The sequence below is a fragment of the Homo sapiens genome, chromosome 1, assembly GCF_000001405.40.
Source record: "Homo sapiens chromosome 1, GRCh38.p14 Primary Assembly".
NCBI lineage: Eukaryota > Metazoa > Chordata > Mammalia > Primates > Hominidae > Homo > Homo sapiens.
The window spans coordinates 213,146,662-213,159,275 of NC_000001.11; the positions used below are offsets into that span (position 1 = coordinate 213,146,662).

The 12,614-nt window shown below is 45.1% G+C and overlaps 1 protein-coding gene across 46 annotated transcripts in view, besides 1 other annotated feature; it reads left to right on the forward strand.

The window, feature by feature from the left end:
- Positions 1-12,614, forward strand: part of RPS6KC1 (ribosomal protein S6 kinase C1) — an 811,495-nt gene that overhangs the window by 95,421 nt on the left and 703,460 nt on the right. The window lies entirely within an intron of this gene.
- Positions 5,627-6,302: an enhancer, noted in NCBI's record as "H3K27ac hESC enhancer chr1:213325631-213326306 (GRCh37/hg19 assembly coordinates)". NCBI's record gives its function as "activates a minimal SCP1, AML or CMV promoter by ChIP-STARR-seq in primed H9 embryonic stem cells {active_cell/tissue: H9 hESC(primed)}" and the evidence as "EXISTENCE:reporter gene assay evidence [ECO:0000049][PMID:30033119]".

Here is a 12,614-nt window from a genome sequence, read left to right on the forward strand (position 1 = left end):
TGATCTGCCCACGTCGGCCTCCCAAAGTGCTGGGATTACAGGTGTGAGCCACTGTGCCCGGCCGTGGGATTGCAATTTTTATTTTTTTTGAGGAACCTCCAAACTGTTGAACTATGTACAACATAGTGCTTGTACTAATTTACGTTCCCACCAACAGTGTACCAGGGTTCCCTTTTCTTCACATCCTCACCAGTATTTGTTATTGCCCGTCTTTTGGATATAAGCCATTTTAACTGGGCGGGGATAATATCTCATTGTAGTTTTGATTTGCATTTCTCTGATGATCAGTGATGTTGAGCACCTTTTCTTATGTTTGTTTGCCATGTGTATGTCTTTTGAGAAATGTCTGTTCATATCTTATGCCCGTTTTTTGATTGGATTATTAGATTTTTTCCCTATAGAGTTGTTTGAGCATCTTATATATTCTATTAATCCCTTGTGAGATGGGTAGTTTGTAAATATTTCCTCCCATTCTATGGGCTGTCTCTTCACTTTTTTGATTGTATCATTTGCTGTGCAGAAGCTTTTTAACTTGATGTGATGCCATTTGTCCATTTTTTGCTTTGATTGCTGGTGCTTGTGGGGTATAACTCAAAAAATCTTTTCCCAAACCAATATCCTGGAGATTTTCCCCAATGTTTTGTTGTAGTGGTTTTATAGTTTGAGTTCTTAGACTTTAAGTCTTTAATCCATTTTGATTTGATTTTTGTGTATGGCAAGAGATAGGGGTGTAATTTCATTCTTCTGCATATGGGTATTCAGTTTTCCCAGTACCATTTATTGAAGAAACTGTCTTTTCTTCAGTGTATGTTCTTGGCACCTTTGTCGAAAATGAGTTCACTGTAGGTGTGTGGATTTCTTTCTGAGTTCTCTATTCTGTTCCACTCATCTATGTGTCTGTTTTGATGCTGGTAGCTTGCTGTTTTGGTTACAATGGCTCTGTAGCATAATTTGAAGTCAGGTTATGTGATTCCTCCAGTTTTCTTCTTTTTGCTTAGGATCACTTTGGCTATTCTGGATCTTTTGTGGTTCCATATAAATTTTAGTGTTGTTTTTCTATTTCTGTGAAGAACGTCATTGATATTTTGATCAGGATTCCATTGGATCTGTAGATTGCTGTGGGTCATATGGACATTTTAACAATATTGATTCTACCAATCCATGAACATGGAATATTTTTCCATATTTTGATGTCCTCTTCAGTTTTTTTTCATCAGTGTTTTATAGTTTTCATTGTAGAGCTCTTTCACTTTTTTGGTTAAGTTAATTCTTAGATATTCAGTTTTATTTGTGACTGTTGTAAATGGGATTACTTTTTAAATTTCTTTCTCAGATTGTTCACTGTTGGCATATAGAAATGCTACTGATTTTTGTACATTGATTTTGCATCCTGCAACTTTACTGAATTTGTTAGCAGTTCTAATAATTTTCTTGTCTCTTTAAGTTTTTCCAAATACACGGTCATATCATCTGCAAACAAGGATAATTTGACTTCTTCCTTTCCAGTTTAGATGCCCTTTATATCTTTCTGTTGTCTGATTGCTTCTAGTACTGTGTTGAATAACAGTGGTAAAAGTGGGCATCCTTGTCATGTTCCTGATCTAAGAGGAAAGGCTTCAGTTTTTCTGCATTCAGTATACTATCTTTGGGTCTGTCATATATGGCTTTTATTAGGTTGAGGTGTGTTCCTTATATATCCAGTTTTTGAGGGGTTTTTATCATGAAGGGACATTGAATTTTATCAAATGCTTTTTCAGCATCCGTTGAAATAATTATTTGGTTTTTATCTTTCATTCTGTTGATATGAGGTTTCACATTGATTGATTTGCATATGTTGAGCCATCTTTGCATCTCAAGGGGTAAATCCCCCTGGTCATGATGTGTGATCTTTACAATGTATTGTTGAATTCAGTTTGTTAGTATTTTGTTGAGGATTTTTGCATCAATATTTATCAGAGATATTGGTCTATGGTTTTCTTTTTTTTGGATGTGTCTTTGTCTGGTTTTGATATCAGGGTAATACTGGCCTCATAGAACGAGTTTATAAGTATTCCCTCCTCTATTTTTCAGAATAGTTTGAGTAGGATTGGTATCATTTCTTCCTTAAATTTTTGGTAGTATTCAGCAATGAAGCCATCAGTCCTGGGCTTTTCTTTACTTAGAGATTTTTTACTATGGCTTCAATCTCATTATCTGTTATTGGTCTGTTCAGGTTCTGTGTTTTTTCCTGGTTCAGTCTTGGTAGGTTGTATATAAGTAGGAACTTGTCCATTTCTTCTAGACTTTCCAATTTATTGACATATAGTTGCACATATTAGCTACTAATGATCCTTTGAATTTCTGCAGTAACAGTTATAAAGTCTGTTTTTACATTTCTGATTTTATTTATTTGTATATTCTTTTTTTTTCTTAGTTTGGCTAAAGGTTTGTCAATTTTGCTTACGTTTTCAAAAATCCAACTTTTTGTTTCACTCATCATCTGTATTATTTCATTTCAGTTCATTCATTGCTACTCTGATCTTTATTATTTTTTTCTACTCATTTTGGGTTCGGTTTGCTCTTGCTTTTCTAGTTGTGTAAGATGCTCATTTGAAGTTTTTCCTCTTTTTTGATGTAGGCACTTGTAGTTCTAAACTTCCCTCTCAGTATTGCTTTTGCCGTATCCCATAGGTTTTGGGATGTTGTGTTTCCATTATGATTTGTTTTAAGAAATTTTCAGTTCTTTACTTCTTCATTTACTCACTGGTCATTCAGGAACATATTGTTTAATTTCCGTGTATTTCTGTAGTTTCCAAAATTCCTGTTGTCATTAATTTCCAGTTTTGTTCCATTGTGGTCAGAGAAGGTCCTTGAAACAATTTCAATTTTTGTTGAATGTTTTAAAACTTGTTTTGTGACCTGACATATGGTCTGTCCTTGGAAATGATCAATGTAGTGAGGCAAAGAATGTGGATTTTGCAGCCCTTGGATGAAATGTCCTGTAAATATCTATTAGATCCATTTGGTCTGTAGTGTAGATTAAGCCTGATGTTTCTTTGTTGCTTTTTCTGTCTGGAAGATCTGTCCAATGCAGAAAGTGGGGTGAAGTCTCCAGCTATTATTAGATTGGGGCCTATCTCTCTTGTTAGCACTAATAATATTTGCCTTATAATATATGGGTACCCCAGGGTTAGGTGCAAATATATTTAAAATTGTTATATCCTCTCACTGAATTGACCCCTTTATCATTATATAGTGACCTTGTTTGTCTCTTCTTATAGTTTCTGTTTTGAAATCTATTTTGTCTGATACAAATATATCAGAAAAAATATTTTTTAGTTTCCATTGGTGTGGAATATCTTTTTCTATCCCTTTATTTTCAGTCTGTTTGTGTCTTTATAGGTGAAGTGTGTTTCTTGTAGGCAACAGACTAATGGGTCTTGTTTTTTCATCCATTCAGCCAGTCTATGTCTTGATTGTAGTTTAGTCCATTTGCATTCAATGTTATTATTTATAAGTAAGGACTTACACCATTTTGTTATTTTTTTTCTGGTGGTTTAGTGGTCTTTCTTCTTTCTTTCCTTCCTGTCTTCCTCTAGTGAAGGTGATAGGATTTAGTTTCTTGCTTTTTATTTTTTTGTATGTACATTATATGTTATTTATTTATTTATTTATTTATTTATTTATTTTTTATTGATAATTCTTGGGTGTTTCTCACAGAGGGGGATTTGGCAGGGTCATAGGACAATAGTGGAGGGAAGGTCAGCAGATAAACAAGTGAACAAAGGTCTCTGGTTTTCCTAGGCAGAGGACCCTGCGGCCTTCCGCAGTGTTTGTGTCCCTGGGTACTTGAGATTAGGGAGTGGTGATGACTCTTAACGAGCACGCTGCCTTCAAGCATCTGTTTAACAAAGCACATCTTGCACCGCCCTTAATCCATTCAACCCTGAGTGGACACAGCACATGTTTCAGAGAGCACAGGGTTGGAGGTAAGGTCACAGATCAACAGGATCCCAAGGCAGAAGAATTTTTCTTAGTACAGAACAAAATGAAAAGTCTCCCATGTCTACTTCTTTCTACACAGACACGGCAACCATCCGATTTCTCAATCTTTTCCCCACCTTTCCTGCCTTTCTATTCCACAAAGCCGCCATTGTCATCCTGGCCCGTTCTCAATGAGCCGTTGGGCACACCTCCCAGACGGGGTGGTGGCCGGGCAGAGGGGCTCCTCACTTCCCAGTAGGGGTGGCCGGGCAGAGGCGCCCCTCACCTCCTGGGCGGGGCAGCTGGCCGGGCAGGGGGGCTGACCCCCCCACCTCCCTCCCGGATGGGGCGGCTGGCCGGGCAGGGGGCTGACCCCCCCCACCTCCCTCCCGGACGGGGCAGCTGGCCGGGCAGAGGGGCTCCTCACTTCCCAGTAGGGGCGGCCGGGCAGAGGCGCCCCTCACCTCCCGGATGGGGGGGCTGGCTGGGCGGGGGGCTGACCCCCCCACCTCCCTCCCGGATGGGGCGGCTGGCCGGGCGGGGGGCTGACCCCCCCACCTCCCTCCCGGATGGGGCGGCTGGCCAGGCGGGGGGCTGACCCCCCCACCTCCCTCCCGGACGGGGCGGCTGGCCGGGCAGAGGGGCTCCTCACTTCCCAGTAGGGGCGGCCGGGCAGAGGCGCCCCTCACCTCCCGGACGGGGCGGCTGGCCGGGCGGGGGGCTAACCCCCCCACCTCCCTCCCGGACGGGGCGGCTGGCCGGGCAGAGGGGCTCCTCGCTTCCCAGTAGGGGCGGCCGGGCAGAGGCGCCCCTCACCTCCCGGATGGGGCGGCTGGCCGGGCGGGGGGCTGACCCCCCCACCTCCCTCCCGGACGGGGCGGCTGGACGGGCAGAGGGGCTCCTCGCTTCCCAGTAGGGGCGGCTGGGCAGAGGCGCCCCTCACCTCCCGGATGGGGCGGCTGGCCGGGCGGGGGGCTGACCCCCCCACCTCCATCCCAGACGGGGCGGCTGGCTGGGCAGAGGGGCTCCTCACTTCCCAGTAGGGGCGGCCGGGCAGACGCGCCCCTCACCTCCCGGACGGGGCGGCTGGCCGGGCGGGGGGCTGACCCCCCCACCCATCTCCCTCCCGGACGAGGCGGCTGGCCTGGCGGGGGGCTGACCCCCCCCACCTCCCTCCCGGACGGGGCAGCTGGCCGGGCGAGGGGCTGACCCCCCCACCTCCCTCCCGGACGGGGCGGCTGGCCGGGCGGGGGGCTGATCCCCCAACCTCCCTCCAAGACGGGGCGGCTGGCCGGGCGGGGGGCTGACCCCCCCACCTCCCTCCCGGATGGGGCGGCTGGCCGGGCAGAGGGGCTCCTCACTTCCCAGTAGGGGTGGCCGGGCAGAGGCGCCCCTCACCTCCCGGACGGGGCAGCTGGCCGGGCGGGGGGCTAACCCCCCCACCTCCCTCCCGGACGGGGCGGCTGGCTGGGCAGAGGGGCTCCTCACTTCCCAGTAGGGGCGGCCGGGCAGAGGCGCCCCTCACCTCCTGGACGGGGCAGCTGGCCGGGCGGGGGGCTGACCCCCCACCTCCCTCCTGGACGGGGCGGCTGGCCGGGCGGGGGGCTGATGCCCCCACCTCCCTCCCGGACGGGGCGGCTGGCCTGGCGGGGGGCTGATCCCCCTACCTCCCTCCCGGATGGGGCGGCTGGCCGGGCAGGGGGCTGACCCCCCCCACCTCCCTCCCGGACGGGGCGGCTGATGGGGCGGGGGGCTGACCCCCCCACCTCCCTCCCGGACGGGGTGGCTGCCGGGCGGAGACGCTCCTCACTTCCCAGACGGGGCGGCTGCCGGGCGGAGGGGCTCCTCACTTCCCAGACGGGGTGGCTGCCGGGCGGAGGGGCTCCTCACTTCTCAGACGGGGCGGCCGGGTAGAGATGCTCCTCACCTCCCAGACGGGGTTGCCGCCGGGCAGAGGTGCTCCTCACATCCCAGACGGGGCGGCGGGGCAGAGGCGCTCCCCACATCTCAGACGATGGGCGGCCGGGCAGAGACGCTCCTCACTTCCTAGATGTGATGGCGGCCGGGCAGAGGTGCTCCTCACTTCCTAGGTGGGATGGCGGCCGGGCGGAGACGCTCCTCACTTTCCAGACTGGGCAGCCAGGCAGAGGGGCTCCTCACATCCCAGATGATGGGCCGCCAGGCAGAGATGCTCCTCACTTCCCAGACGGGGTGGCGGCCGGGCAGAGGCTGCAATGTCGGCACTTTGGGAGGCCAAGGCAGGCGGCTGGGAGGTGGAGGTTGTAGCGAGCCGAGATCACGCTACTGCACTCCAGCCTGGGCACCATTGAGCACTGAGTGAACGAGACTCCATCTGCAATCCCGGCACCTCAGGAGGCCGAGGCTGGTGGATCACGTGCGGTTAGGGGCTGGAGACCGGCCTGGCCAACACAGCGAAACCCCGTCTCCACCAAAACCAGTCAGGCCTGGCGGCGCGAGTCTGCAATCGCAGGCACTCGGCAGGCTGAGTCAGGAGAGTCAGGCAGGGAGGTTGCAGTGAGCCGAGATGGCAGCAGTACAGTCTAGCTTCGGCTCAGCATGAGAGGGAGACCGTGGAAAGAGAGGGAGAGGGAGACCGTGGGGAGAGGGAGAGGGAGAGGGAGAGGGAGAGGCAAAGGCAGGCGCAGAGGCAGGCACAGAGGCAGGGGCAGGGGCAGGGGCAGGGGCAGGGGCAGAGGCAGAGGCATTATATGTTTTTTTGTTTGAGGTTACCATGAGGCTTGCAAATATATCTTGTAACCCATTATTTTAACTTGATAACAACTTAACACTTGTATAAACAGACAAGCAAAAGGAAGAATAATAAAAACTCTACACCTTAACTTTGTCCCCCAGCTTTTAAACATTTTGTTGTTTCTGTCTTATTGTGTTGCCTATGTCTTGAAAAGTTATTATTTTTCATTGGTTCATCATTCAGACTTCCTACTTAGGATAAGAGTAGTTTACACACCACATTACAGTGTTATAATATTTGGTGTTTTTCTGTGTACTTACTATTACTAGTGAGTTTTGTACCTTCAGGTGATCATTTATTGCTCATTAATGTCCTTTTCTTTCTGATTGAAGTACTCCCTTTAGCACTTCTTGTAGGACAGGTCTGATATTGAAATCTGTTAGCTTTTGTTTGTCTGGGAAGGTGTTTATTTTTCCTTCATGCTTGAAGGATACTTTTGCTGGCTATACTCTTCTAGGGTAAATGTTTTTTTTTATTTCTTCAGCATGTTAAATATGTAATTCTTGGGAAGGCTTTCCAGACATTTGAAAGGACTTGTGTGTTGTGATCTAAGCTGTTTCTGCTTTAGGGCTCACCACAAGCCTGGTAATGTTATGGTTCTTGCAGACTCTTAGAGGTACCAGCCACCTTGATGGTCTTGGACAAGATCAGGGAGAATTCTCTTGATTACCAGTCAGAGGCTCTTGTTGTTTCCTTACTTTCTCCCAAACATATAAAATCTCTCTCTCTGTTCTAAGCCACCTAAAGCTGGAGGTGGAGTGACACCCCTGGGGCCACCACCACTATGACTGCTCTGCATCAGACCTGAAGCTGGCACAGTGCTGGGTCTTGTCCAAGGCCTGTTATAGCCACTCCCTGGCTACTGCCTATGTTTGCTGAAGGCCCTGGGACTCTGCAGTCAGCAGGCAGCAAAGCCAGCCAGGCCTGTGTCCTTCCCTTCCTGGTGATGAAGTCTCCCAATCCCTTCGTGGATATAGAAGTGCTGTCAGGGAGTCAGGGACTAGAATCAAAAACCTTAGAAGTCTACCCGGTGTTATCTTGTATTGCACTGTTGGGGCACTCAAACCACAAGGTGCAGTTCTTCCCACTCTTCCTTCCCTTTTCTGAAGGCAGACAAGCCTTACCCCATAGCCACTCACCCCAGACCATAGGACTACTGCCAGAATACTGCTGGCATTCTCTTAAGTCCCAGGATCTCTTAACTCAGCTTGTTGTAAATGCTGCCTGGACTGGGACTCACCCTTGAGGGTAGTGGGTTCCCCACTGGCCAAGGGCAGGTCCGGAAATGCTGTTCAATAGTCAAGGCCTGAAATTGGGGCACCTTAAGTGCCCGCTTGGTGCTCTACCCTTCTGTGGCCTTGCTGGTATCTAAGGTACAAGAGAAAGTCCCCTTTACTTTTCCCTCTGCTTTTCTCAAGCAGAAGGAGTTTTGCTCTGTAGTCACCACAATTGGTAATGTGCTGAGTCTCACTTAAAGTCTGCAAGTCTCACAGGCTCGCCTGAAGCCGTAAGTGTAGTACCTGGGTAATGTTGCTGATTATTCAGGGTCCAAGGGCTCTTTAGTTAGCAGGTGATGAATGCTGCCAGCACGAAGTCCTTTCTTTCAAGGCAGCAGGTTCCCTTCTGGCTCAGGGTGTGTATAGAAATGTCTGGGAACTAGGACCTGGAATAGGGACCACACAACTCTGACCAGTGCCCTATCTTGCTATGGCTGAGGTGGTTTCCAAGATGCAAGACAAAGTCCTCCCCACTTTCCTCTCCTTTCCTCAAGTGGAGGAATGGCGTGTCTTTTGGAGCTATGAGCTGTGCAGCCTGGGGTTAAGGGAGTGGTGATGCCAGCCCTCCCTTGACTGCCTCAGCTAGTATCTCAGTATGCCATGTGTCCTCCTGTCCACTGTCTCTGGGCCTAGTTCAGTACTAGGACTCGCCTACAAGTTGCAGTCCTTATGGCCTCAAATGCCTTTCAAATTTACTTGGAGACACAGAGTGCTGTAGCCCTTGTTGGCGAGGTTTGCAGGCAGTCAATTTCTGACCACTAGGATCAGTGATTCCCCTCTGGCTAGAGTGGGTTTAAATGCTCCCATCTTGGGTGGGCTTTAGCTGAGTTTGGTCCAGTTTTCCTTTTTGCTCTAACAGGACAGCAGTTGCTGTTCAGTACCTCACAGTTGCTGTGTTCTCCCTCCCCCAGACGCTCTCATAGACACTCTCTGCACCATGCTCCAGTAGGAGCTGGGGTGCAGGGGGTGACGTCAGCAATTCGGGACTGCTTTTTTTTTGTATCTTTTCAGTGCCCCTTTCAGTAAGATGAAGTTAAAACCAGGTACTATGAGTACTCACCTGATTTTTGGTTCTTATGAAGGTGTTTTTTTCTGTGTAGATAGTTGTTAACTTGGTGTTCTTGTGGGCTTGGGGATGATTGGTGGAGCTTTCTATTCTGCTGTCTTGTTCCACCGTCCCCACTCTCTCAAATCGTAAAAGCAAGACCTAAAAGGATCAAACTATATTCAAGAACCATTTCTGTATCCTAGAACAAAGCTCAAAAATATTGATAGTAGTTAGAAAAACACCCACCACCCAACATGGTAAAATTCAAAATGTTACCATTCATGCATAGAAGCAGGAAAAATACCCCCTTAATTGAGGGAAAATTAATCAATCTAATCCTACCAGGAATTGACAGAGATGTTAGAATGATCAGGTAAGGGCTTTAAGTGTTGTTGTAACTTTGTTTATTATCTTGAAAAAGTTAAGTGGAGACATGTAAGAATTACAAAAGACCAAACTGAACTTCTATAGGTAGCATCCACAGTGTCAGAAATGAATGCAAAGGTTGTGATCTGTGGCAGATTAGATTTTCCAGAAGGAAAGATTAATGAACTTGAGGACATAGTAATAGAAACTATCCAAAATGAAACAGTGAGATAAAAGTATTTTTAAAAATTAAAAAAAAGGACTTCACTGAACTATAGAACTATTTCTGTATATGGAACTGGGACGTGTGAAAATGGAGAGGGGGAAACAAAATATTTGAAGAAATAATGCCTGAAAGCTTTCCACATTTAATAAAAACAATTTGCAAGTCCAAAAAGTCCGATAAACCCCAAGCAAAGAAACATGAATACTACACCAAGGCACATGATAATCAAATTGCTCAAAACCAGTGATAAAGGGAAAACCTTGAGATTAACAGCAGGCAGAAGAAAAAAGACAATTCATGTATGAACAAAGATATGAATGTCATCAGATTTCGTGTTGAAAACAATGTAAGAGAGATGACAATTGATGAATATATCTGAGTAGAGAAAAAGGTGGAAAAAACCTGTCAACTGAGATTTCTATACCCAATGAAAATATCTTTAAAAATATAGGCAAAATAAGGAATTGTTTGGGAGTGATGAGTATGTTCTGTTTTCTCTTTGATTTTCTTGGTCAGTCTACCTGAAAGTTTGCCAATTTTGTTGATCTTTTTGAAGAATTAATTTTTTAAATTTCATTTGTTTTCTCTGTATTTCTTCTATTTTCTGTTTCATTTTTTTCTCCTTTCACTGTTTTATATGGTTTGCTTTAATTTTTTAGAATTTATCTTAAGAGGTAAAAGCTTAGGTTATCAATTTGATATCTTGTTTTCAATGTTGGTGTTTAAAACTATTAGTGTCCCTCTAAGCACTGCTTCCACATCCCATAAATTTAGATATATTGCTTTCATTTTCACTCAGCTTGAAATAATTTCCAGTTATCTTTGTTTCTTCTTTGATTCATGTATTTTTAAGATATGCATTCTTTAGTTTTCAAATATATGTGAATTTTCCAATTTTTAATTTTTTTTTTTTTTTTGAGACAGAGTCTTGCCCTGTTGCCCAGACTGGAGTGCAGTGGCACGATCTCGGCTCACTGCAGGCTCCACCTCCTGCCTCATCTCCTGCCTCAGCCTCCTGAGTAGCTGGGACTACAAGTGCCTGCCACCATGTCCGGCTAATTTTTTTATGTTTTTAGTAGAGACGGGGTTTCACCGTGTTAGCCAGGATGGTCTCGATCTCCTGACCTTGTGATCTGCCCGCCTCGGCCTGCCAAAGTGCTGGGATTACAGACGTGAGCCACCATGCCCGGCCTTTAATTGTTGATTTCTAGTTAATTGTTATGGTTGGTGAATATAGTTTGCATGATTTAAATTATTTTACATTTATTGAGACTTGTTTTGTGGCCAAGTACGTGGTCTGTCCTGGAGAATGTTCTGTGTGTGCTTATAAGAAGCATATATTCTGCTGTTTTTGTATGGAGTATTCTGTAGATTCAGAATTCAGGTTGGTTGATAATACTGCTCAAGTTTTCTATATTATTACTGATTTTCTGTCTCTTTGTTCTAGCGATTATTGAGACATATCTGATGAATATTGTTGAATTGTCTGTTTCCTTATTTCTGTCATTTTTTGCTTCATCTGTTTTGGAGATCTGTTAGTAGATGCAGGCATGTTTATAGTTATAGTTTCCTGATTAATATAACCTTTTAATGTTATAAAATGTCTATTATTGTCTGTGGTAACTTTTCTTTCTTAGAATAGATTTTGTCAGATATTGGTATAGCTGTTCTCTCTTATGATTACTTTTTGCACGGTATGTTTCCATTTTTTTATTTACAACCTGGTTGCTTCTTTGAATCAATGTATATCTTCTATAGACAGGATATAGTTAGATCCTGTATAGTTTTTTTTTAATCCAGTCTTAGAAATAATCTCTGCTTTTGATTAACATGTTTATGTACACTTAATGTTTGACAATGTATAGAATTCAGCCATTTGAAATGGCACTAGTTAAATACATTTGTAGCTGTGTAAGCCAGGTAAATCAGTACTGTGACTTCTTGCTACTCTCACCCTGTGTTTGGTTACTAGCCTTAACAGGTAAGATCTATCTTGTTCTCTTGCCTTGTCTTGGCAATGTGCTTGCTATTCCAGCACCCTTGAAACTAGGGCTCTGTTCAGTTTTGATCAGACCCACCTACAGCTTCCTCAAAATAACCATTTGACCTAAAACTCAGGCTTGGCAGCTGGGAAACTCTCATTTAAGTTGTTATAATACTTTCCCGATCTTTGTGGGAACAAGGTGGGGATAGACAGATACCCATAACATATCACAGTAGCTAATATTCAGGGAAAGCAAAGTTTAATTAATTTTAGTTTATTGTACTTACAAATGGAGTAGCCCAGTTTAGAATGATTTGTATCGAAATAAAGAGTTAAATAAGCTTGGACACATAGAGCTACTTCTCCAGTATTTTTTTTTAAACTTTTTTTGAAAACATTCAGACAGAAAGGCATGTTTCCTGAGAGTTGTTTATTACCAAGTTTTTTCTGTGCTAAAATTAGTAGTCACAGATATGTAAAAAATTGCCCTCCTTTTTTAAGGAAGAGAAGGAACCCTAGAAAACTAGTGTAGGCTTGTAGTTCTTCCTTAATCTTAGATTTAATTTGTTCTGGAAACATAGAACTTTAGAGATTACTTACCCAGAACCTTCAGGAATGTCTATCTGGGAATGATTATTGGTATACACTATTACTTATTATATAATAGTAGTAGTAATAATAATGGTTATGATGATCTCTCATGTAGTGAGAACTCAAGAAGGACAAAGTTCATATGCAAAACAGTATGTTTTGCTTCTTCATTTGTCATTTCAAGATATATGTTTGGTGGATCTAGATGGAATGGATTTTGTATCATTAAAAAAACAACCCTTAAACTTCTGTTGATACTCAGGAGGCTTAGTATACTATAGCCTATTGGCATAAAGTGCTGAATTTTCCCCAGGGTTACCACTGAAGGAAGAAAGTCTGGACGAGTAGTTTCCTGGCATATGCTTCTTGAATTGTTGGCTATTTTG